We start from the raw sequence: 27353 nt of genomic DNA, 5'->3' as shown, positions 1-27353 counted from the left end.
TATCTCACCAGCAACAATCCCGTTCCCCATTTGGCCCTCCATTTGAGCCTCTCAAGAGTCCTCCTCCTTTAAGACCCAGACTAACTTGAGTGATTGATTTCAGTTCTTGAACCATGCACTTCCCTGCAATCAGAATTAGTCTTCTGTGGGATATCACAAAACATCAGCCTTCCTCCCATATTGTGTGTAAATTAAAGGGAAATTTAAAGCGCTGTAGTATTGTTGGGCATATCCTCCTAAAAAGTTTAGTTAGATGTAATGTAGTGGAGGTTTTCGTTAATGGTCAAAGTGAAGCCCTTATTTTCTGTAGCGTTTCTCCTAAAAACCTACTTCAAACCCTAAGAAGTGAATCCAAAAATGTATCATGAAATGAATGGAGCTGGTGGGGGGGCGGGGGGCGGGGGGAAGTATGTCTTTAGTAAGTTTAGTAAAGTGGAACAGTTGATAGCTACATTATAAAGTTGCTTTTATCGCTTCTGTTGGCTAAGATCAAGTGTATAAAGTTATTTTTAATGGAGATTTTCCTACTTGGGCTAGACTGGCCAAGGTCTCTGAAGAGGCCTAAGGAAGTTTGGATTTCCTTCATTGCTCCAAGAACCTTCTTGAAACTTGAAAATTAAGGTCATTTTTCTCAAATTTTCATTGCCAATTCTTTACACAAGAATGCCTCTGAAAGCCTTTGAATGGGGGAGTTCCAGTTTCCATAGTAATGACTCCCTGACAGATATCTCCCTCTTCCATTTCATCAAGACCCAGCTGAGTCACTGTCACTGCCTACCAATCTCGACCGGACCTCGACCGGCTCGTCTGTGTTGCCAATCGACTCGGCGTGGCGTCGGTCGTGGTAGATAGGCGGTCATGCATACGAATTTTCAGCTCTTGTTCTGGTGACCTTTTGAATACGTCTTGTCTATAAAAGAAATTCATGCCTTTGTAAAATACACAGGTACTATAGATTAAGCTGCCTTTGCTATATATTCTTCCAGAGTTTTTTTTAATACACTTACTATTTTTCTATTTCATTTACTGCAGTATTTTTCAAACTTTAGCATGCTTTAGAATTATCTAGAAGCCTTATTAAAATAGATTCCTGGACCCAGAGTTTCTGATTCAATAGGTAGGGCCTAAGAATTTGCACTAACAAGTTTCCAGTGATGCTAATGCTGCTGGTCTAGGGACAAGACCCAGAACCATTGACGTGCTTTATAAAATCCAGAAATAAGATTTTTTCTTACAAAATTGAACGTTACTTGGGACATCTTCCCATGTCAGTACACAAAGATCTGTGCCTGTTGTGTGTCGTTTAATGGAAACCATCATTTTTTAATCAGTCTTCTATAGATGGACTTTTAAGATTTTCATAAACAGTATTTCATTGACCATCTTTGAACCACACAATGTGTTTCCACTTTGTAATATTTCAATAAGGGTAAATTCCTGGAGAAAAACACCAGCTAGATGAAAGGGTATACTCATTTTATAATTCGATAAGATACTGCCAACTTGCACTTTCTGAAGGTTGTACCAGTTTATTTATTTTTTATTTATTTATTTTTTTTTTTTTTGAGACGGCGTCTCGCTCTGTCGCCCAGGCTGGAGTGCAGTGGCGCAATCTAGGCTCACTGCAAGCTCCGCCTCCCAGGTTCATGCCATTCTCCTGCCTCAGCCTCCCGAGTAGCTGGGACTACAGGCGCCCACCACCACGCCCGGCTAATTTTTTGTATTTTTAGTAGAGACAGGGTTTCACCGTGTTAGCCAGGATGGTCTCGATCTCCTGACCTCGCATCCACCCGCCTTGGCCTCCCAAAGTGCTGGGATTACAGGCATGAGCCACCGTGCCAGGCTGGTTTTACCAGTTTATACTCCAAGCAACAGAGAGAGAATTCTTAGTTTTCTCACATACTTAATACTACTACTTACCATAATTTTATTTTTGCTTGTTTGATGATTAAATATTGATCTCATTTTACATTTCTTTGACTAATAGGTTTTATGTTTTTTTTGGTTTTTGGCTTTTTTTCTTAATATTTTCCCTTCCCTGAGATGACTTAAATATTTCCCCATGTTTTCTTCCAGGACTTTTTGGTTTCACTATTTACATTTAAATCTTTTATCTATTTTGGTGGTGGTGCAAGGATTCCAGCTTCCTTACTACCACCAGTAGCTATTATTAACTCCATTTAATAAATTATCCCTTCTCCCTTCTCCCATGGAGGTCCTAAATTACTTATAACAAGAAAAATTGTATAAGTAGGGGTTGTAATTGAGCTGTTTAGTTGATGGTCACCCGTTGAATGTTTGAAAAATACCAGCTCCAATTTTTGAGTAGCCTTAAAATGGATTAATTCAATGGACTGTGGTGTGATGGAGCCAGGAATGAAAATATTAAGCTGTATTGGGTCAGAGAATGAACTTAGCAGGGGCTATTGTGTGATTTGATGTATTCTGAGGTGTTCATGAAATAGCGATCAAGGTAAAATCCTACTTCCAAAAGCTTTTCTTTCAGGAAGGCTTTTTCCACCATCTTTGCTACTACTGTGTTGGGTGAGATATAGATAAAAATTTACAGTATTTATATGCAGTGACCTTGAGTTTTTAGACTAAAACAAGACAAAATTTATTTACTTTTAAATTACATCCAAACCAATTTAATGTTGCTTTCTTTCTTTTTTTAAAAGATTGAAATCATGGCAGGTCCAGAAAGTGATGCGCAATACCAGTTCACTGGTATTAAAAAATATTTCAACTCTTATACTCTCACAGGTAGAATGAACGTAAGTATTGATAACTTTAAGCAGTTATATTTTAAAATAATATAGATGGAACAACAAGTCTTGTTTACTTTTTTCTTTCTTTCTCAGTGTGTACTGGCCACATATGGAAGCATTGCATTGATTGTCTTATATTTCAAGTTAAGGTCCAAAAAAACTCCAGCTGTGAAAGCAACATAAATGGTAAGAAGTTGACATTTAAACCTTTATAATTTAGCCATTTTGATGTTAGGATTTTTCCCTAACATTTAGTATAAAAATAAACCATTGTCATTTTGCAAAATTTATAGCATACAAGAAAAAAAAATACAGAGGCCTAGTATAGTGGCTCATACCTGTAATCCCAGCACTTTGGCAGGCCAAGGCGGGCAGATGACTTGAGCCCAGGAGTTCAAGACCAGCCTGGGCAACATGATGAAACCCCATCTCTACCAAAAAACAAAAATTAGCCAGGGTGGGAGAACTGCTTAAGTCCAGGAGGCGAAGGTTGCAGTGAGCCGAGATCACGCCACTGCATTCCAGCTTGGGCGAAAGAGCAAAATCGTGTCTCAAAAAAAAGAAAAAGAGGCTGGGTGCAGTGGCTTGTGCCTGTAATCCCAGCACAATGGGAGGCCGAGGCAGGCGGATCACCTGAGGTCAGGAGTTTGAGACTAGCCTGGCCAACATGGTGAAACCCCATCTCTACTAAAAATACAAAAGTTAGCCAGGTGTGGTGGCAGGCGCCTATAATCCCAGCTACTCGGGAGGCTGAGGCAGGAGAATAGCTTGAGCCCAAGAGGCAGAGGTTGCAGTGAGCTGAGATCACGCCATTGCACTCCAGCCTGGGGGACAAGAGCAAGACTTTGTCTCAAAAAAAAAAGCAAGAAAAATATTGCCCATGTCCCAAGACCCTAACAGTTTTTGTTACATGTATTTTGTTTGGTTTCCAGTGACTATGATCACGTCTGTAATTTTGTCTTATACCAAATATATCTTTAATTTGAATGCATGTCTGTTTATAAATATATGAACTATTTCAGAGAGGAACTCTCGTTCCCATTAGAATTAGTAATACTACAATGAATGCTTTTGAGCATGAAGCCTTGTCTATATCTAGGATTGTCATCTTAGGCAAAAGTGCTTTCCCAATTATGAGGTACCCAGCTTTGTAAATGGGTGTGTCTTTTGCCCAGCCAATGTGAAATGTAAGTTTCTGGTTTTTGCTAATTTGATGAGTAAAAAAAATTGTGTTTTTTGCTTTTTGAAGGGCATGTTTTTCTGTGTTTACTGTTTGCATTTTTCTTGAAAATACAATTCATTCTATACATGTTTTTATTTATCAATTGGGTGACTTGGAAGCTCTATGTAATCATTAACCAACCTTTTATATCAGTTGCAAATATTTCTTTTTCTAGTTTGTTTCCAATGTTTATGTAATTCTGTCTTTTCCTTAAATCCCCATAGGTTTTATTTTCTTATAATCCTCCAACCCCCATTTGCCCACCCTTTAAATATCTGTTGTGTTGGCAATGGGTGATATGTGGAAAGCCCAAATGCCAGATCTTCATCTGATGTAGCTCTCCTTCGCAGACTTTTTTTTTTTTGAGATGGAGTTTGACTCTTGTTGCCCAGGCTGGAGTGCAATGGCATGATCTTGGCTCACTGCAACCTCTGCCTCCCGGTTCAAACAATTCTCCTGCCTCAGGCTCCTGAGTAGCTGGGATTACATGTGCACACCACCACGCATGGCTAATTTTTTTGTATTTTTAGTAGAGACGGGGTTTCACCGTGTTGGTCAGGCTGGTCTCAAACTCCTGACCTCAGGTGATATGCCCGCCTTGGCTTCCCAAAGTGTTGGGATTACAGGTGTGAGCCACCACACCCAGCCCGGATATTTTTCTTTTTGAGACTCTAGCTCTGTTGCCCAGGCTGGAGTGAAGTGGTGCGATCTCAGATCACTGCAACCTCTGCTTCCCGGGCTCAAGTGACCCTCCCGCCTCAGCCTCCTGAATAGCTGGGATTTCAGGTGCATGCCACCACACCCAGTTAATTTTTGTATTTTCTTTTGGTAGACAGGGTTTTGTGATGTTGCCCAGGCTGCTCTCAAACTCCTGGGCTCAAGTGATCCACCTGCCTCAGTCTCCCAAAGTGCTGGGATTACAGGCATGAGCCACTGTGCCTGGCCTCTTCTATGCTTAAGAGCTTTTCCAATCTCAAAACAGTTGACCTTAGGGAGTGCATATCCGAGAATGCAGTGATCACTGGCTTATTCCTGACGAACAGGTAGTATTTTGCCCAATTTTTTATATTAATTACCTCCTAACTTCAGAAGGGTGGTAGTATCCCCATTACAAAAATGGAGAGGCTGGGCGTGGTGGCTCACGCCTGTAATCCCAGCACTTTGGGAGGCTGAGGTGGGTGGACCATCTGAGATCAGGAGTTCGAGACCAGCCTGGCCAACATGGTGAAACCCCATCTCTACTAAAAATATAAAAATTAGCCGGGCGTGGTGGCAGGCACCTGTAATCCCAGCTACTCGAGAGGCTGAGGCGTGAGAATCACTTGAACCCAGGAGGCAGAGGTTGCAGTGAGCCGAGATTGCGCTGCTACACTCCATCCTGGGGGATAGAGCGAGACTGTGTCTCCGAACAAAAAAAAAAGATGTTACTTTATATGCTAGACTTTTCCAATAGTATACCTTTAGGATCATACTAAATTGTTGGTAGCTTATTTGTTAAAGGTGGAATGTTAGGTTAAAATGTATTAATCTGAGGCCAGGCACAGTGGCTTACACCTGTAATCCCAGTACTTTGGGAGGCTGAGGCGGGTGGATCACTTGAGGTCAGGAGTTCGAGACCAGCCTGACCAACATGGTGAAACCCTGTCTCTACTAAAAAATACAAAATTAGCCGGGTGTGGTGGCACATGCCTGTAATCCCAGCTACTTGGGAGGCTGAGGCAGGGGAATCACTTGAACCTGGGACGCGGAGGTTGCAGTGAGCCGAGATTGTGCCATTGCACTCCAGCCTGGGCAACAAGAGCGAACTCTGTCTCAAAAAAAAAAAAGTATTAATCTGAGATACACTTTAATTTTTTTGGTGTTACATCTTTGACAATCTAATAAATTCGCATTCAGTTTCAGTGGGTTCATGTTACCTTAGTAATTCTTGAGTGTCTTAAGAGTAAAGCTGGCCACATTTGTATCTAAACTGTTTGCTTTGTTTATAGGATTTTAAACTGTCTACGGTTCTTAACCTCATCTGTTAAGTTCCCATGCCTGGAGAAGCTAATGCCAACTCATCATGTGATAATTCAATTTGTACAATAAATTATGAACCTGGAAAAGCTGGTTGTCTTTATTTACAAGATATCAAAAATATAAAAACTGTACAAAATGCAACAAAGGCAAAAACTGGCAGTGACTTGGTCTAAATCTTTTAGTTTCCCAAAGCAAGGCTCAGTACTGGAGGTAAGCAACTGAAATGTCTGTCTGACTTCAAGTGTACTAGGTTGTATGTAGCTGTTTTAGCTGAAGTAGAACATGGAAGCTAAATTTCTTCACCTGGTTTATCGAGTGTTTGGGTGCACTCAAAACTCAACAGGTATATAAATTCAGATGTCAGTGGGTGGCTGTACTTCCTCTAGATCTAAGAAAGGAACCCTACCTAGTTACATACATTCCATTAATCATGGGCCAAGAAAAAAAAAGTTAGTGGATCATTTAACATAGTTTTTGAGTGCCATACAGTAACTACGTTTTTACAGCAGAAACATACATGCTCATAGGATTCTTCAGCTAAAATTCAAGATGATAGTATATTTCTGAATTTGAATCTTGAAGCAGGATGAATTATTGAAATCAACTTTTTTTCTAAATGTAATAAATTAAAATAGCATTTGAACAGAAAATGCATAGTTTCCACACAATCCAAAGCACCATAAATGTCCCCTCCATGATCATAATACCTCTTATTCAACTAACGGAAATTAGTCAAATGTGGTTGCTATAGAAACGTGGAACTGTCCTGTTCAGATTTTTCCAAGCAGCATACTTCCAGATCCATATAGACAAAAACATTCTCTGTAGCTTAAATATTAATCACTGAGGTATTTGCTTTTAGTCTCCCTTTTTAAAAACAGTAGCTTCCAAAAGGTCTTTAATACCGATGGTTTATTGTGGACTATAAGCTCCTGCAGCTAGAACCAGGTTTCTTCGAGTAAAATGAAGGTGTACAACTGGTGTTGATTTGGTCATATATGTTCCCAACAATAACTCCTGTGAATTCTCAGGTAAATTTATATGCCCAGTGGCTGTAGTAAAGTCATCGGTCTCTAAATCTTCAAAGGCTTTGATAGCATCCCATAATCGAACTGTATTATCCATTGAACCTAAGGGGAAGTCAAAGGAAACCATTAGTTGCATCCATCATATTTACATTCGGACATTTTGTCCACTACACTATGTATTTACTGTACATTTTGGGTGAAAAATCTAAACTTGACCAATAACTCTATTCCTTCCTAAGGAGCATTATCAAGCAGTACTTTAACCTGAGAAGTGATTGATGTAGGATGACACTCTGGAATCATAGCTAAAGGGAAGTAAAACCTAAAACATAAGGACTTAGTATTGCAGTCGTCAACACTGTTTCCTCTTAACATAGCATTTATCGTAAAGCCATTAATAGTCATTTACCTGATGCCAAAATTTCACCATCTCTACTAAACCTAAGTGAACAGACTGTATCAGTGTGGCCTTTTAATTCTCCAACCATCAAACCATGTCCAATATCCCAAAGAAGCACTCTGCCATCTGTTGCTCCTGTAGCCAGGAATCTCCCATTGGGAGAAAATGTCAAGGAATGAATTGGTCCCTAGAAAAAAGTTCATAGAAAAGATCAAAGTATGTCTAGGAAAATAAGACAAAATTTTAAAGTTTTGTAGTAAGAATGGTATCTTTAAAATTTATGTGTCACTTGTTTAAAAAATATTTTTATTTTGAAAGCAACCTTGGATGCTGGAATAGTAAGAGTGTAAAATACCTTGTGTCCAGTGAAGATCCTTACACAGTTACCATTCAGGACGTCCCAGAGCCGCACAGTTCTGTCTGCAGAGCCCGTAGCAACATAATTAGAATTTGGATGGAATCTGGTACAATTCACATCAGCAAGATGGCCGGCAAATATTCTTAAAGGCTGATAGTGGTCTGTAGCCCAGAGCCTTTTATAAAGTTATTGAAAGCAAAAGATGACAATTAGTAGATAGCTGTGAAACGCCAAAAATCTATACAAAATAAATACAGAAACATCCACATAAAAAGTTAGTTCTGAGTGGGCCCCCCACTTACTAGTTAACTGAGGGGAAGAAAAATGAGACTCACAGTCCTAAGAGTTCATCTGGTACAATTTTTTTTTTTTTTTAAGCTGAGGTCTTGCCAGGCATGGGGGCTCACGCTTACACTTCTAGCACTTTGGGAGGCCGAGGCATGCAGATCACGAGGTCAGGAGTTCGAGACCAGCCTGACCAACATGGTGAAACACCGTCTTTACTAAAAATACAAAAAATTAGCTGGGCATGGTGGCGCACGCCTGTAATCCCAGCTACTCAGGAAGCTGAGGCAGGAGAATTGCTTGAACCCAGGAGGTAGAGGTTGCAGTGAGCCGAGATGGCGACACTGCACTCCAGCCTGGGTAACAGAGCGAGACTCTGTCTCAAAAAAAAAAAAAAAAATGCTGAGGTCTTGCTCTGTTGCCCAAGCTGGATTCAAACTCGGTTCCAGCAATCCTCCCACCTCAGCCTCCCCAGTAGCTGGGACTATAGGCGTGTACCACTGTAGCCAGCCAAAACTTAAGTTCTAGAACTCCAATTCTCTGTATATTCTTCCTCCTCTATTCCTAGTCTAAACCACAGAAAAGTATTTTCCCCTAGTTCTGGCCACCAAATAGTTGTTTTGTTTTGAGACAGTCTCACTCTGTCATCCAGGCTAGAATGCCGTGGTGCAATCTCGGCTCACTGCAACCTCTGCCTCCTGGGTTCAAGCAATTCTGCCTCAGCCTCCTGAGTAGCTGGGACTACAGGCACGTGCCACCACACCCGGCTAATTTTTGTTTTTTTTTTCAGTAGAGACGGGGTTTCGTCATGTTGGCCAGGCTGGTCTGGAACTTCTGGCCTCAAGTTATCTGCCCTCCTTGGCCTCCCAAAGTGCTGGGATTACAGGCGTGAGCCACTGCACCTGGCCAAATAGTTTCTAACCTGAACTACCTTATCCTCAACTTCTAAGCAGATGACAGAGAAACATAAAGGTGCTCACAGTGGTATGGAAGACAAGGTTAAGTATCTGATGGGGTTGGGAGGGAGGATTGTTAATTAACTATTTTTTAAAAACCAGGATTCATATAGATGTAATTGCAGATATAATAATACTCCTGCCCCAATTTCTTTTCTTTTTTTTTTTTTTTTTTTTTTTTTTGAGATGAAGTCTCGCTCTTGTCCCCTAGGCTGGAGTGCAATGGTGCGATCTCGGCTCACTGCAACCTCCGCCTCTCAGGTTCAAATGATTCTCCTGCCTCAGCCTCCTGAATAGCTGGGATTACAGGTGCCTACCACCACGCCCGGCTAATTTTTGTATTTTTAGTAGAGACGGGGTTCCACCATGTTGGCCAGGCTGGTCTCAAACTCTTGACCTCAGGTGATCCATCCACCTCGGCCTCCCAAAGTGCTGGGATTACAGGCATAAGCCACTGCGCCCGGCCCCAATTTCAAATAAGTTATAAATGCAAAAGCTTCTCAGAAAGTTGAACCTCAATAATGGAAGTGTAAATGAATTTGGCTGGCTGTGTAATTCCCAACAAGAAACCATTCTGTTCATTGAATAGACCCAGTCATAAGATCACAGTGTTCTTACCGAGCTACTCGGTCATGGCCCCCTGACACAAAATAATATCCATATGGAGAAAATTGTGTGTCCCATACTGGATAGTTGTGTCCTTTATATCCCACCAAACAAGTAAATGTTTGAAGGCTCCACAATCTAACAGTTCCGTCCTCTGAAGAGGAAAGCAGATAGTTCCTGAGAGAAGAGAAGGTGATATATTTGACTCCCAGAGTAACCTTTGGTCACCTGCCCAGTTTTATATACATTTGAATACATTTAATATTTTATATATATTTGACTATATTAAATATACCTAACATGCTGCATCTCACTTTTAATTCATACACGCAATTCACAGTAGGTATCAATTGAAAGAACTAACCAAACTAATGTTAACCCTGACACTCTACATATACCGAGCACCTACTGAATGAGGTAATATGATACAAAAACTTAGGGAAAATCAGAGTTCTTTACAAGAAAAAAATAGCAGGGGTAATTAACAAAGTATAGTCAAATAAGGTCAATTGAGAAAGTTTAAGAAATGTGATATGTCACTTAAAACTCAACAATTTTTGACCCTAAAATAAAGATGCTATTTTCCCATGCTGTGTAAGCTATGTAAGAATTAAAAAGGAAATGTCTTTTGAAGAAAAAGAAAAAAAAACTACAGACATGCTAATAATTCTCTACCTTTTTCAAGCATAAACACAAAAGATTGATAGTCAGAAGGTTATTACAATTTTCACTGAAATCAGACGTTTCCCTCAAAAATGTATCATCTGGCAAAACCTTATCAAGCAACAAAAAACCTAATTCTCAAAGTTTCGTAATGATGAAACCTTGATGGATGGAAAGCTATTATCTTTTTTTCTTTTCTTCTTTTTTTGAGATGGAGTTTTGCTCTTATCACCCAGGCTGGAGTGCAGTGGTGCAATCTCGGCTCATTGCAACCTCTGCCTCCCATGTTCAAGTGACTTTCCTGCCTCGGCCTCCCAAGTAGCCAGGATTACAGGTGGGCGCCACCACACCCTGCTAATTTTTGTACTTTTTAGTGGAGACAGGATTTCCCATGTTGGCCAGGCTGGTCTCAAACTCCTGATCTCAGGTGATGCGCCTGTCTTGGACTCCCAAAGTGCTGGGATTATAGGCGTGAGCCACTGTGCCCGGCCTGAAAGCTATTATCTATCCAAGTAATATACTGATGGTATTATGAATACAAAACACCCTCCACCCATTTTTACAGTGTTAGAGATCATGAAAAATAGGCAAATACCTATACACATAGGATGACATTGTAATCATACACCTAAAGGGAAGCAAACCAATTTTGAATTTCCTTTTTCATTTACTCTTAGTACTTTTGATTATAGAAAGATTAATCCTCAATTACTAGCTAATATGCCATTAATGTCAGGAATTTGTCTTAAATTTGATGAAGCAGCCAGAAGACACAATGCAGGGACCCAATGAAGCAATTCAACCCCTAATGGAGTTCTATAAAACTAAAGCTTTGGTTGGTTATTTACCATTGGGTAACAAATAAAAATAATTAAAAAAAAAAAAGGGAAATACTAAAGCTAATTTTTAAAACCAGTAAGCCCTGAAACTGTGCATTTTGATTCTATAAATTTGAGTATACAGGCCAGGCACAGTGGCTCACGCCTGTAATCCCAGCACTTTGGGAGGCTGAGGTGGGCAGATCACCTGAGGTTGAGAGTTCAAGACCAGCCTGACCAACATGGAGAAACCCCATCTCTAATAAAAAAATAAAATTAGCCAGGTGTGGTGGCGCATGCCTGTAATCCCAGCTACTCAGGAGGCTGAGCCAGGAGAATCGCTTGAACCCAGGAGGCGGAGGTTGCGGTAAGCCAAGATCACGCCATTGCACTCCAACCTGGGCAACAAGAGCGAAACTCTGTCTCAAAAAAAAAAAAAAAAAAGTGAGTATACATTAAATTGCTACCATGTACAAACACCAGGATTCAAAGATGAATTAGCAAATGGCAAGATTCTAAAAGATGATGAACGTCAGACAACCATGAGATTTTTATCAGAATTTTCCCAGCATTTGCATAATGTTTCCAGTAGTTAACTTTTATATAATTTCAATATAACATAGCAGTATTTAATTTTTATTGTTTGTATTTTACCTATCCGGACTGAAGCTGGCTCCGTAGACAGGCCCACTGTGACCATACAAAATCTTCAACTCACTTGCTGTTTTCTCATCCATGATTCTTTCTAAGACATCATCTGATTCTTTGTCTATAAGACTAAGATCTAAAATGGTCCAGAAATATTGATATTTTATAAGTACATTCATCAAAACTTTTAAAGTAATCATATCACAGTGCAGGAGAGGAATTAACATTTGAAAATTTCCTCCTATATACCAACCGCACTTTGCTAATCCCTCTAAATTAGGCAGTATCATCTCAGCGTGTAAGAGAAGAAAATGACGTTCAGAACAGATAATTTGCTAGAGTGCACACAGCTACTCAGTGTGGGAACCAGAACTGAAACTCAGTTTTGCCCACTATGCCACAGTGTTTCACAAAATGAAAACTATGGGCCAGGCATGGTGGCTCACACCTGTAGTCTCAGAATTTTGGTAGGCCAAGGCGGGCAGATTGCTTGAGCCCAGAGGAGTTCGAGACCAGCCTGGACAACATGGAGAAACCCTGTCTCTACAAAAAATAAAAAATTAGCCAGTGTGGTTGCACACACCTGTAGTCTCAGCTACTCAGGAGGCTGAAGTGGGAGGATCACTTCAGCCCAGGGATTAGAGGCTGCAGTGAGCCGTGATCACACCACTGCATTCTAGCCTGGGCAACAGAGTGAGACCCCATCTAAAAAAAATTTAAAATTAAAAAAAAAAAACCTATGGAAATATTGAAATAATTTAAAATATATTGTTTTATTTAAATAATATAGTTAGTAAAAAACTTTATTTCAGGCCGGGTGTGGAGGCAGGAAAATCGCTTGAACCAGGGAGGTGGAGGTTGCAGTGAGCCACCTATAATTCCAGCACTTTGGGAGGCCAGACAGGCGGATCACTTGAGGTCAGGAGTTCGAGACCAGCCTGGCCAACATGGCGAAACCCTATCTCTACTAAAAATACAAAAATTACCTGGGCATGGTGGTGGGCACCTGTAATCCCAGCTACTGGGGAGCTGGGGAGCTGACACAAGAAAATCCCTTGAACCTGGGAGGTAGAGGCTGTAGTGAGCCAAGACTGCGCCATTGCACTCTAGCCTGGGTGACAGGGCGAGACTCTGTCTCAAAAAAACAAAAAGTAAAAAACTTTCAAATAAAATCCTGACCTTATTTGTTCTTTTTAGCCATTTTTATGACTAAAACAGGAAGTACCATCCCTTATTTAAAGATTTTTTAAGATTTACAAGCAATCATAAAATGTTAGATTTTTAACTTTAAGTTTTTTAGCTTAATACTCACTCATTCTACAGATGAGAAAACTGAGACCTAAAGAAATTAAACCAGTCTAGCACCCCAGTCACTCCAAAGCTTTTTTCACTGTTGGGAATGTTAGAATCTTGAGTTAAAGTAAAATCAAGTGAATTTCTGTAAAGAACACAATCTCCTGTGTATTTTCCATGGAATCAAGATTGGTATAGACTAATGGCAAGTTCACATTCCAAAAGGTCATCTCAGTTACCTGATGCTTGTTTGACACTACGAAGCTTTTTGGGTGTTACCGACCACACTCTGACAGTTGAATCTGCAAAACCTCCAGCAATCAGACTAGAATCATCAGTGACATCCACTGCAGTGAGACCCTGCCAATAAAAGGGTTAGACTAAACAATACTATTTTAGGATATTTAGAGATAGGAAGCAAATGTTAATCATTTTCACACTATACTAAATATCTCCTCAATCCTCTATTTTAAGGAATATATAAAGACTTTTAAAATTCTTGATTTAAAATATTGGCCAAGCGCACTGGCTCATGCCTGTAATCCCAACAATTTGGGAGGCTGAGACAGGTGGATCACCTGAGGTTAGGAGTTCAAGACCAGCCTGGCCAACATGGTGAAACCCCATCTCTACTAAAAATACCAAAATTAGCCAAGCAGGGTGGTGGGCACCTGTAATCCCATCTACTTGTGAGGCTGACGCAAGAGAATCACTTGAACCCAGGAGGCAGAGGTTGCAGTGAGCCAAAATCGTGCCACTGCACTCCAGCCTGGGCGACAGAGTGAGACTCCATCTCAAAAAAAAAATAATAATAAAATAAAATACTAAGTTTGGCCGGGCGCGGGGGTTCATGCCTGTTATCACAGCACTTTAGGAGGCTGAGGCGGGTGGATTGCCTGAGCTCAGGAATTCAAGTCCAGCCTGGTCAACCTGGTGAAACCCCTTCTCTACTGAAAATACAAAAATTAGCTGGGCGTGGTGGCTCATGCCTATAATCCCAGCTACTCAGGAGGCTGAGGCAGGAGAATCACTTGAACTGGGAGGCGGAGGTTGCAGTGAGCCAAAATTGCACCACCGCACTCCAGCCTAGGTGTCAGAGCAAGACTCCATCTCAAAAAATGAAATTAAATTAAAATAATAAAATAAAATAAGGTTTATATGGCTGGGCACGGTGGCTCACGCCTGTAATCCCAGCACTTTGGGAGGCTGAGGCGGCCAGATCACTTGAGGTCAGGAGTTCAAGACCAGCCTGGGCAACACGGCAAAATCCTGTCTCTACTAAAAATACAAAAATTAGCCAGGCATGGTGGAGGGTGCCTGTAATCCCAGCTATTCAGGAGGCCGAGGCTGAGGCACAAGAATCGTTTGAACCCGGGAGGCAGAGGTTGCAGTGAGCTGAGATCTCACCTCTGCACTCCACCCTAGGTGACAGCACAAAACTCTGTCTCAAAAAAAAAAAAAAATTGATAAATAAGTTTACGTAAGTACTTAAACCAAGTTCAACAGAAATGAACTACAATTTGCTCCTCCTCAAAGGCTAGCAGAATTCTGATCGGTGAAACAAATGCCATTAAACATTGACTTCTATCTATTCTGTGCAGTATCCAATTCTCTCTTCCTGAATGCTGTCTTTAAATTGTATAAGAGTTTAGGGGCCACATGCGGTGGCTCATGCCTGTAATCCCAGCACTTTGGGAGGCTGAGGCAGGCGGATCACAAGGTCAGGAGATCGAGACCATCCTGGCTAACACGGTGAAACCCCATCTCTACTAAAAATACAAAAAATTAGCCGGGCATGGCGGTATGCGCCTGTAGTCCCAGCTGCTGGGGAAGCTGAGGCAGAAGAATGGCATGAACCTGGGAGGCGGACATTGCAGTGAGCTGAGATCGCGCCACTGCACTCCAGCTGGGCGACAGAGCGAGACTCTGTCTCAGAAAAAAAAAAAAAAGGAGTTTAAATAACGAAACTCCATTTTAGCTAATACATTTGTTTCTCTCTTAATGGTAAATCATCATCCTACATGACTCTCCAGGCAGAAATCGCCCAATTTTTTTACCAACCTGGTAAGCATTGAGAAATGTATAGAAACAAATGGAGGGTAAGCAGTCCGGCCCAAGGCGCACTCGTTTGGTGGTTTCTTTCATATTCATTATCTTATCCAACTTATCTGAATCTTTCAACTCAGGAAGAGGGATTCTGTGAAAGAAAAAGAGAGTCAAAATTACCTTTTGACTATTAACAAACTTGAACTCTATATAACATGTTGTCTTATACCTCCACACACAAGTTCCTGAAGTTTTTTCCTCACCTGTTCTGAGGTGGAGCATTGGGATCTTGTTTTTTGCTTTTGGATCCAATACTATCTTTTTTAGGCTTCTTCTTTTTAGGTTTTCCTTCTTCATTTTCTCCCTCTTCATCCTCGTCATCCAAAGGTACCTCAATTTCTGGTTCTTTTAATAAACCAAAAAATACCTACAAGTCAAAAGAGCCAACATTTTTAAAATTATTTATTCATTAATATACCCATTTTACATCTTGATAGGATAAATCACAATTACAAAATAGTAATTTACACTCTGAAGCAGGGTTCTGTATTTGTCTACCCAATAGCCATTCTCCCCTTTTTCCTTACTAACAGAACCCTGATTTTATTGGAGTAGCAATGTGCTCAGTTAAATCATTTCTGTTCCCAGGCTCCCTTTCAGCTAGGAATGTCCATATAAGTATACTGGGTATGGTTGTATCAAAAAAATATTGTTTTCCTGATTAAAAAGGGAAAGCTTCAGCAGAGATATGCCTTTTGTCCTCCCCCTTCTTCCTTCTTGGAACGGAGCTGCAATGCTGAAACTGCAACAGCCATTTGTGAGCACAAAGAGGAAAGCCACATTCTGAAGATGGTGGATCAGAAACCAGAAGGAGCCAGGGACCTTGATGGCACTGTGGAGCCTTCATGCCAGCCCTGGAAGGCCTTCCTCTGAAATTCATTTTATGGGAGAAAAATTCTTTGTTTCAGCCACTGCATTCAGGGTTCCATAAAATGCAACCATACCCAAATTGTCACATATAAACATCACCCTTAGAACACAAAATTTTATATACAGTATAAAATTGTTTCCAAGCGGCCAGGCGCAGTAGCTCACGCCTGTTATGCCAGCACTTTGGGAGGCGGAGTCGGGTGGATCATCTGAGGTCAGGAGTTCGAGACCAGCCTGGCCAACATGGTGAAACCCTGTCTCTACTAAAGTAAATACAAAAATTAGCCAGGTTGGTGGCGTGTGCCTCTAATCCCAGCTACTCGGGAAGCTGAGGCAGGAGAATCACTTGAACCCAGGAGGTGGAGGTTGCAGTGAGCTGAGATCACGCCACTGCACTCCAGCTTGGGTGACAAGAGCAAAACTCCGTCTCAAAACAAACAAACGAAAAAAATTGTTTCCAAGCTAGCTATAAGAAAAATGTGTAACTTATGTAGATGGAAATGCTACAATTTTTCATAATCTGCATTATAGAGTTCTTAGGTTCATTCCCATACCTTTGATTTGTTTGCCTCTCGTTTAGCCTCTCCTGCCAAACTTCCCACCATCGCATCTATCTGTTGCTTACTACGCGGCATCCCATCAAAGATGTCAATGTAGAGGTGCTCCTGAACTATGTTCCATATCTGATTGTTCTGTTTCTCCTGAAGATGCCTCTTCAAGAGTTGGTACGAGTCACGGGAAATACGCAGAACAAATTTACTTGTTCGAAAATCCAACATGGTCTCATTCCCTTTCATGTGTTCCTTTTTGGTAAGACTAGATAATACTCGTAGGTCATCCTGGTAATAACATTCCTGATCTCCATGGAACCTGTTTCAGTGATTTTAAAAAGTCATTTTTCAATGTAATCATTAAGGGATCTGCCTTTCCCCCATATACTTATAAACCATCCCAGAATATTTTCAATGTAGTAGTCTAAATAATCCTGAACTAAGCTGTAGGATAAGAAGTAACTCATTTCAAAATGACTATAATTCAGTTTCTGAATTTATTCTAAAAATGAACAAATGTAATTCTCTAATGAAATGTATCACAAACATTTTAAGAAAAGAACTTAAATATCCTAAGTGAAAAATAATATACCCACCATTGGTAGACAGTTTCTTTAGAATGGAGACATTTAAAAGAAACTGGTAGACATTTGAAAATATAAGAACCCTTGCTTTACTAAATGTTATGGTTTCTCAAAACCCACTTTTAAAAGTTTTATTATGAAAATTTCAAAGGCATAAAAAAGAGTATAATGAACTCAATGTACACAGTACTCAGCATCTCAACAATAATCAATATATAACATTCTCATAAAACCCATCATTTTTAATGATTTCCTATATTTATTGGAAACATGTACCAGACATTTTTAAAATATCAATACTTTAATATGATCACTAAACAACAAAGTGGAAGTACTCATTGTTTGGTATCAACAACTATTACCAAAGACAATAAAATAAAGCCTTTAGCCTTGATAACAACTAGTAAACTTAAATGTACTTTTGTTTTTACAACGCTTAATTTTCCTAAGAAAATAAAATTAAAGACAATATATTTGGCATTCACTAAAAACAGCAATCAATGCAAAAACATTTTTAAAACAATGACTAAACATATTAGGGCTCCAGCTCTGATAAGCACATAGTCAACAGATTTCTAAACTGTTAACTATGTTACCCCATTACAACTCATCAATATATGATCTAAGATTTGAATAAAATTAGAAATCTCAGCCTCTTATATCAGTAACTGCCCATTATCCTCCTGTGGTGATGGGGTCCTGGCAAGGGGTGAGACTGTCCATAATGGGAAGACAGAGAATCCCCTATGACGTTCCAGCTTCCTATGTGGGGAGACAGCTACACCATGAGACAGGAAGAGCAAAAAGGTTTTTCCTTCTTTTTTAGAGACAGGTTCTTGCTCTGAAGCCTAAGCTGGAGTGCAGTGGTTCAATGCAGCCTGAAACTCCTGGGTTCAGGGATTCCTCTTGCCTCAGTCTCCCGAGTAGCTAGGACTGCTGTGCCACCATACTCCACTAATTTTTGTTTACGCGATCTCAGCTCGCTGCAACCTCCACCTCCAGGGCTCAAGCAATTCTCATGCTTCAGCCTCCTGAGCAGCTGGGACTACAGGCACGTGCCACCATGGCTGGCTAATCTTTTGTATTTGAGTAGAGATGGGGTTTCACCATGTTGGCCAGGATGGTCTCGAACTCCTGAGCTCAGGCATTCTGCCCGCCTTGGCTTCTCAAAGTGTGGGATTACAGGCATGAGCCACCATGCCCGGCTCAATTTTTGTTTACTTTTTGTAGAAGCAGGATCTCGTTCTTTTGCCCAGGCTATGTTTTTGTTTTTTTAAGTGACAGTATCTATGTTGCCAAGGATGGAGTGTTTAGATGACAGTACTTTAAAGAGAAATTAGCTTCTAGGGTAGAAGTTCTGTCATCAGCCTTTCTTATTTTTTTTTTTTTCAAAAGCACTTGGCTACAGAACATTTTGCCTTATATACTTCCTATTAGGCATCCTAATATAATGAATTTACTATAATGGCATAGAAGCCAGGGGTGCTAAGTTCTACTGTTCCTCTATTACTACTACCCTGTGTTAAGTGATAAATCTTGACTTCAGGCTCTGTTGCTTGTATTAAACATTTCTCATTCAGGCCAGGCCCAGTGTCTCACACCTGTAATCCCAGCACTTTGGAAGGCCAAGGTGGGCAGATCACCTGAGGTCGGGAGTTCAAGACCAGCCTGACCAACATGAAGAAACCCTGTCTCTACTAAAAATACAAAATTAGCCAGGCATGGTGATGCATGCCTGTAATCCCAGCTACTTGGGAGGCTGAGGCAGGAGAATTGCTTGAACCTAGGAGGCGGAGGTTGCAGTGAGCCGAGATGGCGCCACTGCATGCCAGCCTGGGTGACAAGAGCAAAACTCCATCTCAAAAAAAAAAAATTATTCACACTGCTAAGCACGGCCTCCTTTTTTTTTTTTTGAGATAGACTTTCACTCTTCGCCAAGGCTGGAGTGTAATGGCGCAATCTCAGCTCACTGCAACCTCTGCCTCCCAGATTCAAGTGATTCTCCTGCCTCGGCCTCCCAAGCAGCTGGGATTACAAGTGTCTGCCACCACGCCCGGCTAATTTTTGTATTTTTAGTAGAGACAGGGTTTTGTTATGTTGGCCAGGCTGGTCTCAAACTCCTGACCTCAGGTGATCTGCCCACCTCAGCCTCCCAAAGTGCTGGGATTACAGGCATGAGCTACCACACCCAGCCTGCCTCCTTCTTAAATACTCCTTTCCCTTGGCTTCTATAACTCAGCCCTCCCCTGGTTTTCTTCCTGTGTATCTCTTCTACTTGGCCATTAAATTTGGAGCTCCTTGGGCCTAGCCCACTGACTGACTTATTTCATACTCTCCCCTAGTCAACCTCATCCATATCCATCAATATTGCACACAACTCCAATTAATAGTTCTAGTCCCTACCTCTGTTCTGAGCTCTCATATATCATCTACCTATCAACTTGACATTTCTTAAATGAGTCAAAGGCATATTCAAATCAGAACTCAAAATTATTCCAAGGCTGACAAATCAAGTCCTCTTCTAGGGTTTTCTGTGTCAGGAATTGGCTCCCCTATCCAGCTAGAACGGCCAGAAAACTGGAGATTTCAATGATATCTCCATCTCCCTCACCTCCCTAGCCAATCTATCAAGTGTCTCATGACTTTGTCTACTTCTCTTCACCTCCACCACAACCTAGTCCAGTGCTTCTCAATAAGGGTGCTATTAACATTTTGGGCAGGATAATTCTTTGTAAAGTGGGACTACCTAGGTGCACATATTAGAACATTTAGTATTCCTGCTCCTCCGCCCAGTCATTATGACAACCAAAAATGCCTCCACACATTTTCTTTTTTTTTTTTTTTTTTTTTGAGACAGGGTCTCACTCTTGTCATCTAGGCTAGAGTGCAGAGATGCAATCTCAGCTCACTGCAACCTCTATCTCCCAGGTTCAAGCGATTCTCCAGCCTCAGCCTCCCAAATAGCTGGGATTACAGGAGTGAGCTACCACACCCAGCTAATTTTTGCATTTTTTTGAAGAGACTAGGTCTCACCAGGCTGGTCTCAAACTCCTGAGGTCAAAGTGATCCACCCGCCTCAGCCTCCCAAAGTGCTGGGATTAAAGGCGTGAGCCGCAGCGCCGGGCCACCTCTACACATTTTCAAATGGTCTAGTGGAAGGAGCAATTCCACCTCCAGTTGAGAACCACTGCAATAACTTCCAAAACTTGTCCCTATAGTCATTCTATCCCCCATTTGTTTTCCCCACTGCATAAAGGTCCTTTCAAAGTATATATCTAATAACGACATGGTCCTTTAATGACTCTGTAGCAGAAATGACTCTGTAGCAAAAAGGCTTCGCTCTCCCCAAATATCCATTTTTCCTGTCTTCCTCCATAAAAGAAAACCTGAATATCAGCTGGGCACATAGACACTTAGGTAAAGACTACATTTCTTATTTCCCTTGTAGCTAGGTGTGGCCACTGACTGTTAAGATATAAAAGGAAGAAGTGTGTGCAGTTTCCGTGTGCCCTACCTGCTGACTGGCACACTGATGTGACTGCTTAGAGCAGGAAAACCATCTTATGCCACAAGGTGGAAATTGCATGAAAAGCATGAGAGAGCAACAAGACCGAGGGAGCTTGGGGCCCTGGTAATGAAGAACCCACCACACCAATCCCGAATGTCCCACATTTACGAGAAAAATAAACAAACTTTTATTGTATTTAAACCTCTGTTGTTTGGGTTCTCAGTTACTCTTATTCTAATCGAATCCTAACACTGCTTCCTAGTTTTCTTAAGATAAAGGCAAAAATAAACTTTTATTTATGCCATTGTTGATGAGTTTTCAGTGACTCTCAACCAAATCTAATCCTATCCAATACAACTCCCTACTGCTCTTAGGATAAACAAAGACCCTCAACATGGCCCAAAAACCTGCCTATCCTTTTTTTTCAATGCCTTCACTTTAACAATAGAACCTGCCTACTGTTCCAGTCCCTAACCAATTCCCAGCTTCATAGTATACCACACCCCCATCCCATTCTCTGCTCCAGCTACCCTGGCCATCTTTCAGCCTCTGTACCTACCAGGATCCTTCCCACCAGAGAGCTTTTACACATGCTTTTCCCTCTTCTCTTCATCTGGTTAACTCCTACCTAATCTTCAGATCTCAAATCTCACTTCAAGTATCATTTCCTCTGGAAGCCTTCTCTGACTTCTCCAGCTAGATCAAACCCCACATTTTAAGTTCTCATAGCCTCAGGTACCTCTCCTTCACAACGTACTTTTTAAGTTGCAGTCTTACATTTTTGTGGTTACAGATGTGAAAACATATGCACGCACACACACACACTACGTATGTGTGTATATATATATATGTAAAAATTTACATACTTCTCAAAGAATGACTTTGCTTCATTCTCATGTTGATTGTAGACTAGCTCCAAGTACATGTGCACAAACAGAGGATAAAAAAGTTGGGACAACTCTGCCCGATGGCAGTCCAGGGAACATTCAATGAAGTGTTTCAGTCCACTATAGTATTCTTCATACATTGTGGGATCTCCTTGTTGGTTGTAGGCTGACAACACGGCACTGACATCTGGCTGGTCTTCCACAGCAACACTTCCAACTATTTAAAAAACAAAAAACTTTTAAGAAAATGACCTATTATGACCATGTGACTATGGCTGTATTGTTAAAGCCCACAGGTGAGTTGTTTCTCAGACTGTTGTCTCTTTCTTCCCACTGTCTCTTCCTCAACACAATCACATAATCTTTTTTTTTTTTTTTTGAGAGGGAGTCTGGCTCTGTCGCCAGGCTGGAGGGCGGTGGGGAGATCTCGGCTCACTGCAACCTCCACCTCGCAGGCGAGTGTCTTGCCTCGGCCTCCCAAGTAGCTGGGACTACAAGCGTGTGCCACCATGCCCAGCTAATTTTCATATTTTCAGTAGAGACAGGGTTTCACCATGTTGGCCAGGATGGTCTTGATATCTTGACCTTGTGATCCTCCCGCCTCGGCCTCCCAAAGTGTTGGAATTACAGGCATGAGGCACCACACCTGGCCCACGTAGTCTTTTTTTTTTTTCTTTTTAAGATGGAGTTTCACTCTTGTCGCCCAGGCTGTAGTGCAATGCACAATCTCGGCTCACTGCAACCTCCCCATCTCGGGTTCAAGCGATTCTCCTGCCTCAGCCTCCTAAGTAGCTGGGATTACAGGCATGCACCACTATGCCCAGCTAATTTTTGTATTTTTAGTAGAGACGGGGTTTCACTATGTTGACCAGGCTAGTCTCAAACTCCTGACCACAAGTGATCCACCTGCCTCCCAAAGTGCTGGGATTACGAGTATGAGCCGCCGGGTGCGGTGGCTCCCGCCTGTAATCCCAGCACTTTGGGAGGCTGAGACAGGTGGATCACGAGGTCAGGAGATCGAGGCCATCCTGGCTAACACAGTGAAACCCCGTCTCTACTAAAAACACAAAAAATTAGCCAGGCGTGGTAGTGGGCGCCTGTAGTCCCAGCTACTCGGGAGGCTGAGGCAGGAGAATGGCATGAACTCGGGAGGTGGAGGATGCAGTGAGCCGAGATCGCGCCACTGCACTCCAGCCTGGGCGACAGAGCAAGACTCCATCTCAAAAAAAAAAGTACGAGCCACCGCGCCCAGCCATAATCTTTTAATGGAATTTTTTTCACTTGTTTCATCACCCAAACCGAAACCCATCAGCACACCCATATCTTAAGATAACAATAACAGGCCAACACGGTGGCTCACACCTGTAATCCCAGCACTTTGAGAGGCTGAGGCGGGCAGATCACAAGGTCAGAAGTTCAAGACCAGCCTGGCCAACATAGTGAAACCCCGTCTCTACTAAAAATACAAAAATTAGCTGGGTGTGATGAGACGTGCCTGTAATCCCAGCTACTCGGGAGGCAAAGGCATGAGAATCACTTGAACCCAGGAGGCAGAGGTTGTAGTGAGCCAAGATCGCTCCACTGCACTCCAGCCTGGTGACAGAGCAAGACTCCGTCTCAAAAAAAAAAAAAACAATAACAAGGAGTCAGTATTTCTCCTGGAACTACCTGATGTTAAAGACAAATTGTATAAAAGATATGTGCAAATCAAACAACTACATTAACTTTCTCTCAATGCTCTGTGCAAATGGCACCCACCACGACCAAGCCATGCACTGCAGTAACATTCCCAGCTCTCTGGGCCACCCAAGCACTGTGTAACATTCTTGTAACATATCCTATCCTGTGTTCCCTTCACATTATATACATCTCTTACCCCTTACAAAATGTAAGTACTTAAGGGTGGGAAGGACCATGCCTTATTTATATCTTCAAAAGATAGTTATATGCTTAAGACAATTTCCATAACCACCACTTCAAAACAGAAAACGTAAGTATTTATTGGTAATACAGCACCACCTAACAATACATCTGTCAATTAAATCAGTCAATTAATCTGTCAATTAAATCAGAATTTGGTTGTTGGAAATTTCTGTAAGTTGCCATTATAGTACACTTTGCTCTTTACTGCAGAAATGTGATAATTTCTTTGGTTACTCTGATGGCCTCTTTTCCTCCTTACTGATTTCTCAGTTATGATCTATAATTAGGTCAAGTTTCTGAAGAGATCTGAGATTACAGCAAAATAACCAACAATATAATTCATCTTATAGTTCATTCACAAAATTCAACATTCAAAAAAGATTCCTCTCTCTTTTTTTTTTTTTTTGTAAAGACGGAGTTTTGCTCTGTCACCCGTGCCAGAGCACAATGGCTTGATCTCAGCTCACTGCAACTTCTGCCGCCTGGGTTAAAGTGGTTCACCTGCCTCAGCCTCCTGAGTAGCTGGGGCAACAGGCACATGCCACCACGCCCAGCTAATTTTTTTGTATTTTTAGTAGAGATGGGGTTTCACCATGTTGGCCAAGCTGGTCTTGATCTCCTGACCTCAAGTGACCCACCCGCCTTGGCCTCCCAAAGTGCTGGGACTACAGGCGTGAGCCACCGAGCCCGGCCTTCAATCACATCTGCACACATTTCTATTTACGGATTACAATGAGGTATGAATACAATGCTATGTATGAATACTTCATTTCTGGCAATGCTGCAAAAATTAGGCCTCATACAGACTAATTTGGCTAAAAGCTCTGCACTGGGTAATTCAATAAACATTTATTGTTAGCTCAGGATCACCTTTGATACCTTATACGGTATATGAGTTTTACTGCATGGATTTGTGACAACAGTTGCTGGGAGAAAGGAGGGGCTCAGGTTTCAGGTACATACACAGAGGCATAAACTTATCCATACCAAACATTTTACATATAGATATTATAAGTGCCTCAAGTGGCCGGGCACGGTGGCTCACGCCTGTAATCCCAGCACTTTGGGAGACCAAGGCGGGTGGATCACAAGGTCAGGAGATCGAGACCATCCTGGCTACCACGGTGAAACCCCGTCTCTAATAAAAATACAAAAAAAATTAGCCAGGCATGGTGGCACGTGCCTGTGGTCCCACCTACTCGGGAGGCTGAGGCAGGAGAATCGCTTGAACCTGGGAGGCGGAGGTTGCAGTGAGCCAAGATCACACCACTGCACTCCAGCCTGGCCGACAGAGCGAGACTCAGTCAAAAAAAAAAAAAAAAAAAAGCCTCATAACCACTCATTTAATAGAGAGAGAAAATTCAACATGAGAATGACCTGCCTCCTGACAATATTAATGTAAAAAAAAAATTTTTTTTTTGAGACAGAGTCTCGTTCTATCACCCAGGTTGGAGTGCAGTGGCGCAATCTTGGCTCACTGCAACCTCAGCCTCCCGGGGTCAAGTGATTCTCCTGCCTCAGCCCCCCAAGTAGCTGGGATTACAGGCATGCGCCACCACGCCCGGCTAATTTTTGTATTTCTAGTAGAAAGGGGGTTTCGCCATGTCGGCCAGCCTGGTCTCAAACTCCTGACCTCAGGTGATCCACCCGCCTCAGCCTCCCAAAGTGCTGAGATTCACAGGCATGAGCCACGACGCCCGGCCAATACGAAGGTAAAAAAAATTAAAAACTAAAAAAATAATGACAATCAGCATCACACAAGTAAATGCAGCAAAGACAAAAAGGTCTGTCCAATGCCCATGCCTAAACACATGGCTCTCAAGCTGCCATATGTCAATACTCCTTAGAAGCACTTATTCAAAAGTGAAGATTCCCAGATTCCACCTCTAGAGGACCTGATTCACTAAGTCTGAAGTGATGCCCAGGAACCTGCATCCTCCAAAGACTTAACACTGGTGGTACTCAGCCCATATATATTTTTAAAATTTCAGCCGGGTGCGGTGGCTCATGCCTGTAATCCCAGCACTTTGGGACGCAGAGGTGGGTGCATCACGAGGTCAGGAATTCAAGACCAGCCTGACCAATATGGCGAAACCCCATCTCTACTAAAAATATATTTTTAAAAATTAGCCGGGCGTGGTGGCGCGTGCCAGTAGTCCCACCTATTCGGGAGGCTGAGGCAGGAGAATCGCTTAAATCTGGGAGGCAGAGGTTGCAGTGAGCTAAGATCACGCCACTGTACTCCAGCCTGGGCGACAGAGCAAGACTCCGTCTCAAAAAAAGAAAAAAAGAAAAAGAAAAAAAATTCAACTTTTAGCTGAGATTCAGGGGGTACATGATGTGCAGGACTGTTACAAGGGTATATTGTATGGCGGCCGGGCGCGGTGTCTCACGCCTGTAATCCCAGCACTGTAGGAGGCCGAGGCAGGTGGATCATCTGAGGTCAGGATTTCGAGACCAGCCTGACCAACATGGTGAAAGCCCGCCTCTACTAAAAATACAAAAATTAGCCGGCCGTGGCAGTAGGAGCCTGTAGTCCCACCTACGCGGGAGGCTGAGGCAGGAGAATTGCTTGAACCCGGGAGGCGGAGGTTGCAGTGAGCCAAGATTGCGCCACTGCACTCCAACCTGGGCAACAGAGCAAGTTTCCGTCTCAAAAAAAAAAAAAATCTATAAAGTATTTATCAACACATCTTTTAAGAGGAACTAAAGAAATAAAGAGAAAATAAAGTACTTACAGTACTTAAAGTACGCTAGTACGAAACTGTACAAACACTGTTAGTGTCATGCGGACCTGCCCAAGGCTCAAAAGCCCAAATGAAAGGAAAGGGACCAAGAGCGTGAAGATCCCGCCTCTCCGCGCTCACCTTCCCCATACATCCCTCTGCTCAACAGCTCTCCTCAGCTTCTCACTGGAACTGACAGCTCGGAAGGGGGTTTGACTGCGCAGCCCGCGCACTAGAGAAAGGGGCGGGCATGTGGCCCTAGAGGCGGGCCCAGGAAATTCAAAACAAGCCCGCAGAGGTGCAGGCCTGCCAGCCCCTGCCTTACCGGCTTGCTCCCCTTCGCGGCGGCCGTACCTACCCGGGACCCCACGGCTCACCTTTACCCGGAGCCGCAGGACCTGAGGCTGAACCTGAGACGACCGTGGCCCCCGAAGCGCCAGTGCCCGGAGGGTCGGGGGCCGCAGGGCCAGGGGCCGAGGCGGTCACCCGGCTGAGAAGCGCGCTGGTCACCTCAGCGCCGGCGCTGTCCACCTCTCCCGGGGCTCCGGAGCCCGCCACTGCCTCCTCCAGCAGCCCGGCCTCACGGCGCAGCGCCTCTTCGGCCTCGCGGAGTTTGCTCTGCCGTAGGAACTGCAGCACGGCCAGTAGAGTCTGTCGGTCATGCGGAGCGCCGGCGTCCGGAGCAGCGGCGGGCACCGGGGCCGCCCCCGCCGGGGCAGCGGCGGAGACAGCCACCGTGGGCTTGGGGGTCCCGCCATCCCCGCCAGTGGACGACGACGCCGCAACGTTCCCGCCGCCGCCGTTGGGGCCGTTGTTGGTAGTGCCGCCGCTACCCTCGCCTGCGCCGTCCCCCGCCTGCGGAGGTAGCAGCGTTGGCGGTCCCTCAGGCTCTAGCTTGACCGCCACCTCCGTCTGCTCCTCCGCCAGCGCCGCCATCTTGCGGCTGAGCCACCTCGCGCCGTCAAGCGTGATTGCATTTTCGCCACATGGAGGGCGGGGAGGAGCATTTCACGACAACTCTAGTAGGCCATTTACGGCAGTAGGAGGAGCGAAAAGGAAGGAGAAACGGAATAGGAAAGAGAGCAACTTTCAAAACCGAGCGAAAGAAAGGCAGGAAGTGGGCATTGGTGACCA

The 27353-nt window shown here is 42.9% G+C and overlaps 2 protein-coding genes and 1 non-coding gene across 7 annotated transcripts in view, besides 4 other annotated features; 2 read left to right on the top strand and 1 right to left on the bottom strand.

Moving 5' to 3' along the window:
• The window catches only part of ATP5MK (ATP synthase membrane subunit k), a 7426-nt gene extending 1331 nt beyond the window's left edge, over positions 1-6095 (top strand). For 2 of the 4 annotated variants that reach the window (NM_032747.4, XM_024448237.2), the window contains 4 exons: positions 751-946; positions 2679-2774; positions 2862-2954; positions 5979-6095. In NM_032747.4, the coding sequence (NP_116136.1) occupies positions 2688-2774; positions 2862-2951 (177 nt within the window). In that variant the 5' untranslated portion in view covers positions 751-946; positions 2679-2687 and the 3' untranslated portion in view covers positions 2952-2954; positions 5979-6095. The remainder of the gene's footprint in view (positions 1-750; positions 947-2678; positions 2775-2861; positions 2955-5978) is intronic. The other 2 variants (NM_001206426.2, NM_001206427.2) reach the window with 1 other exon arrangement.
• Positions 744-892, top strand: MIR1307 (microRNA 1307). Its single transcript, NR_031707.1, has one exon. It is a non-coding gene; the product is annotated as a microRNA 1307 (primary transcript).
• TAF5 (TATA-box binding protein associated factor 5) lies at positions 6080-27169 on the bottom strand. Of its 2 annotated transcripts, NM_006951.5 has the most exons (11): positions 26597-27169; positions 21550-21787; positions 16595-16910; positions 15374-15537; positions 15126-15261; positions 13304-13424; positions 11778-11907; positions 9655-9819; positions 7793-7970; positions 7447-7624; positions 6080-7139 (listed from the first exon to the last, which is right to left on the bottom strand). In NM_006951.5, exons 1-11 carry the CDS (start codon positions 27153-27155, stop codon positions 6922-6924), a joined length of 2403 nt encoding a protein of 800 aa, NP_008882.2. In that variant the 5' UTR covers positions 27156-27169; the 3' UTR covers positions 6080-6921. The 2 variants fall into 2 exon arrangements, with proteins under 2 accessions (NP_008882.2, NP_620640.1); NM_139052.3 differs by lacking the exon at positions 9655-9819.
• Positions 25867-25936: an enhancer, noted in NCBI's record as "active region_3957". NCBI's record gives its function as "activates an Ori minimal core promoter by ATAC-STARR-seq in GM12878 lymphoblastoid cells {active_cell/tissue: GM12878}" and the evidence as "EXISTENCE:reporter gene assay evidence [ECO:0000049][PMID:35858748]".
• Positions 26397-26936: a silencer, noted in NCBI's record as "silent region_2779". NCBI's record gives its function as "represses an Ori minimal core promoter by ATAC-STARR-seq in GM12878 lymphoblastoid cells {active_cell/tissue: GM12878}" and the evidence as "EXISTENCE:reporter gene assay evidence [ECO:0000049][PMID:35858748]".
• Positions 27059-27353: an enhancer, noted in NCBI's record as "tiled region #5935; HepG2 Activating DNase unmatched - State 1:Tss, and K562 Activating DNase unmatched - State 1:Tss". NCBI's record gives its function as "activates a minimal TATA promoter and a strong SV40 promoter by Sharpr-MPRA in HepG2 and K562 cells {active_cell/tissue: HepG2 | K562}" and the evidence as "EXISTENCE:reporter gene assay evidence [ECO:0000049][PMID:27701403]".
• Positions 27067-27306: an enhancer, noted in NCBI's record as "active region_3956". NCBI's record gives its function as "activates an Ori minimal core promoter by ATAC-STARR-seq in GM12878 lymphoblastoid cells {active_cell/tissue: GM12878}" and the evidence as "EXISTENCE:reporter gene assay evidence [ECO:0000049][PMID:35858748]".

Source organism: Homo sapiens, chromosome 10 (assembly GCF_000001405.40).
Source record: "Homo sapiens chromosome 10, GRCh38.p14 Primary Assembly".
Classification (NCBI taxonomy): domain Eukaryota; kingdom Metazoa; phylum Chordata; class Mammalia; order Primates; family Hominidae; genus Homo; species Homo sapiens.
Note: the sequence above shows the minus strand (reverse complement) of the source record. Positions and strands in the feature narration are given on the sequence as shown.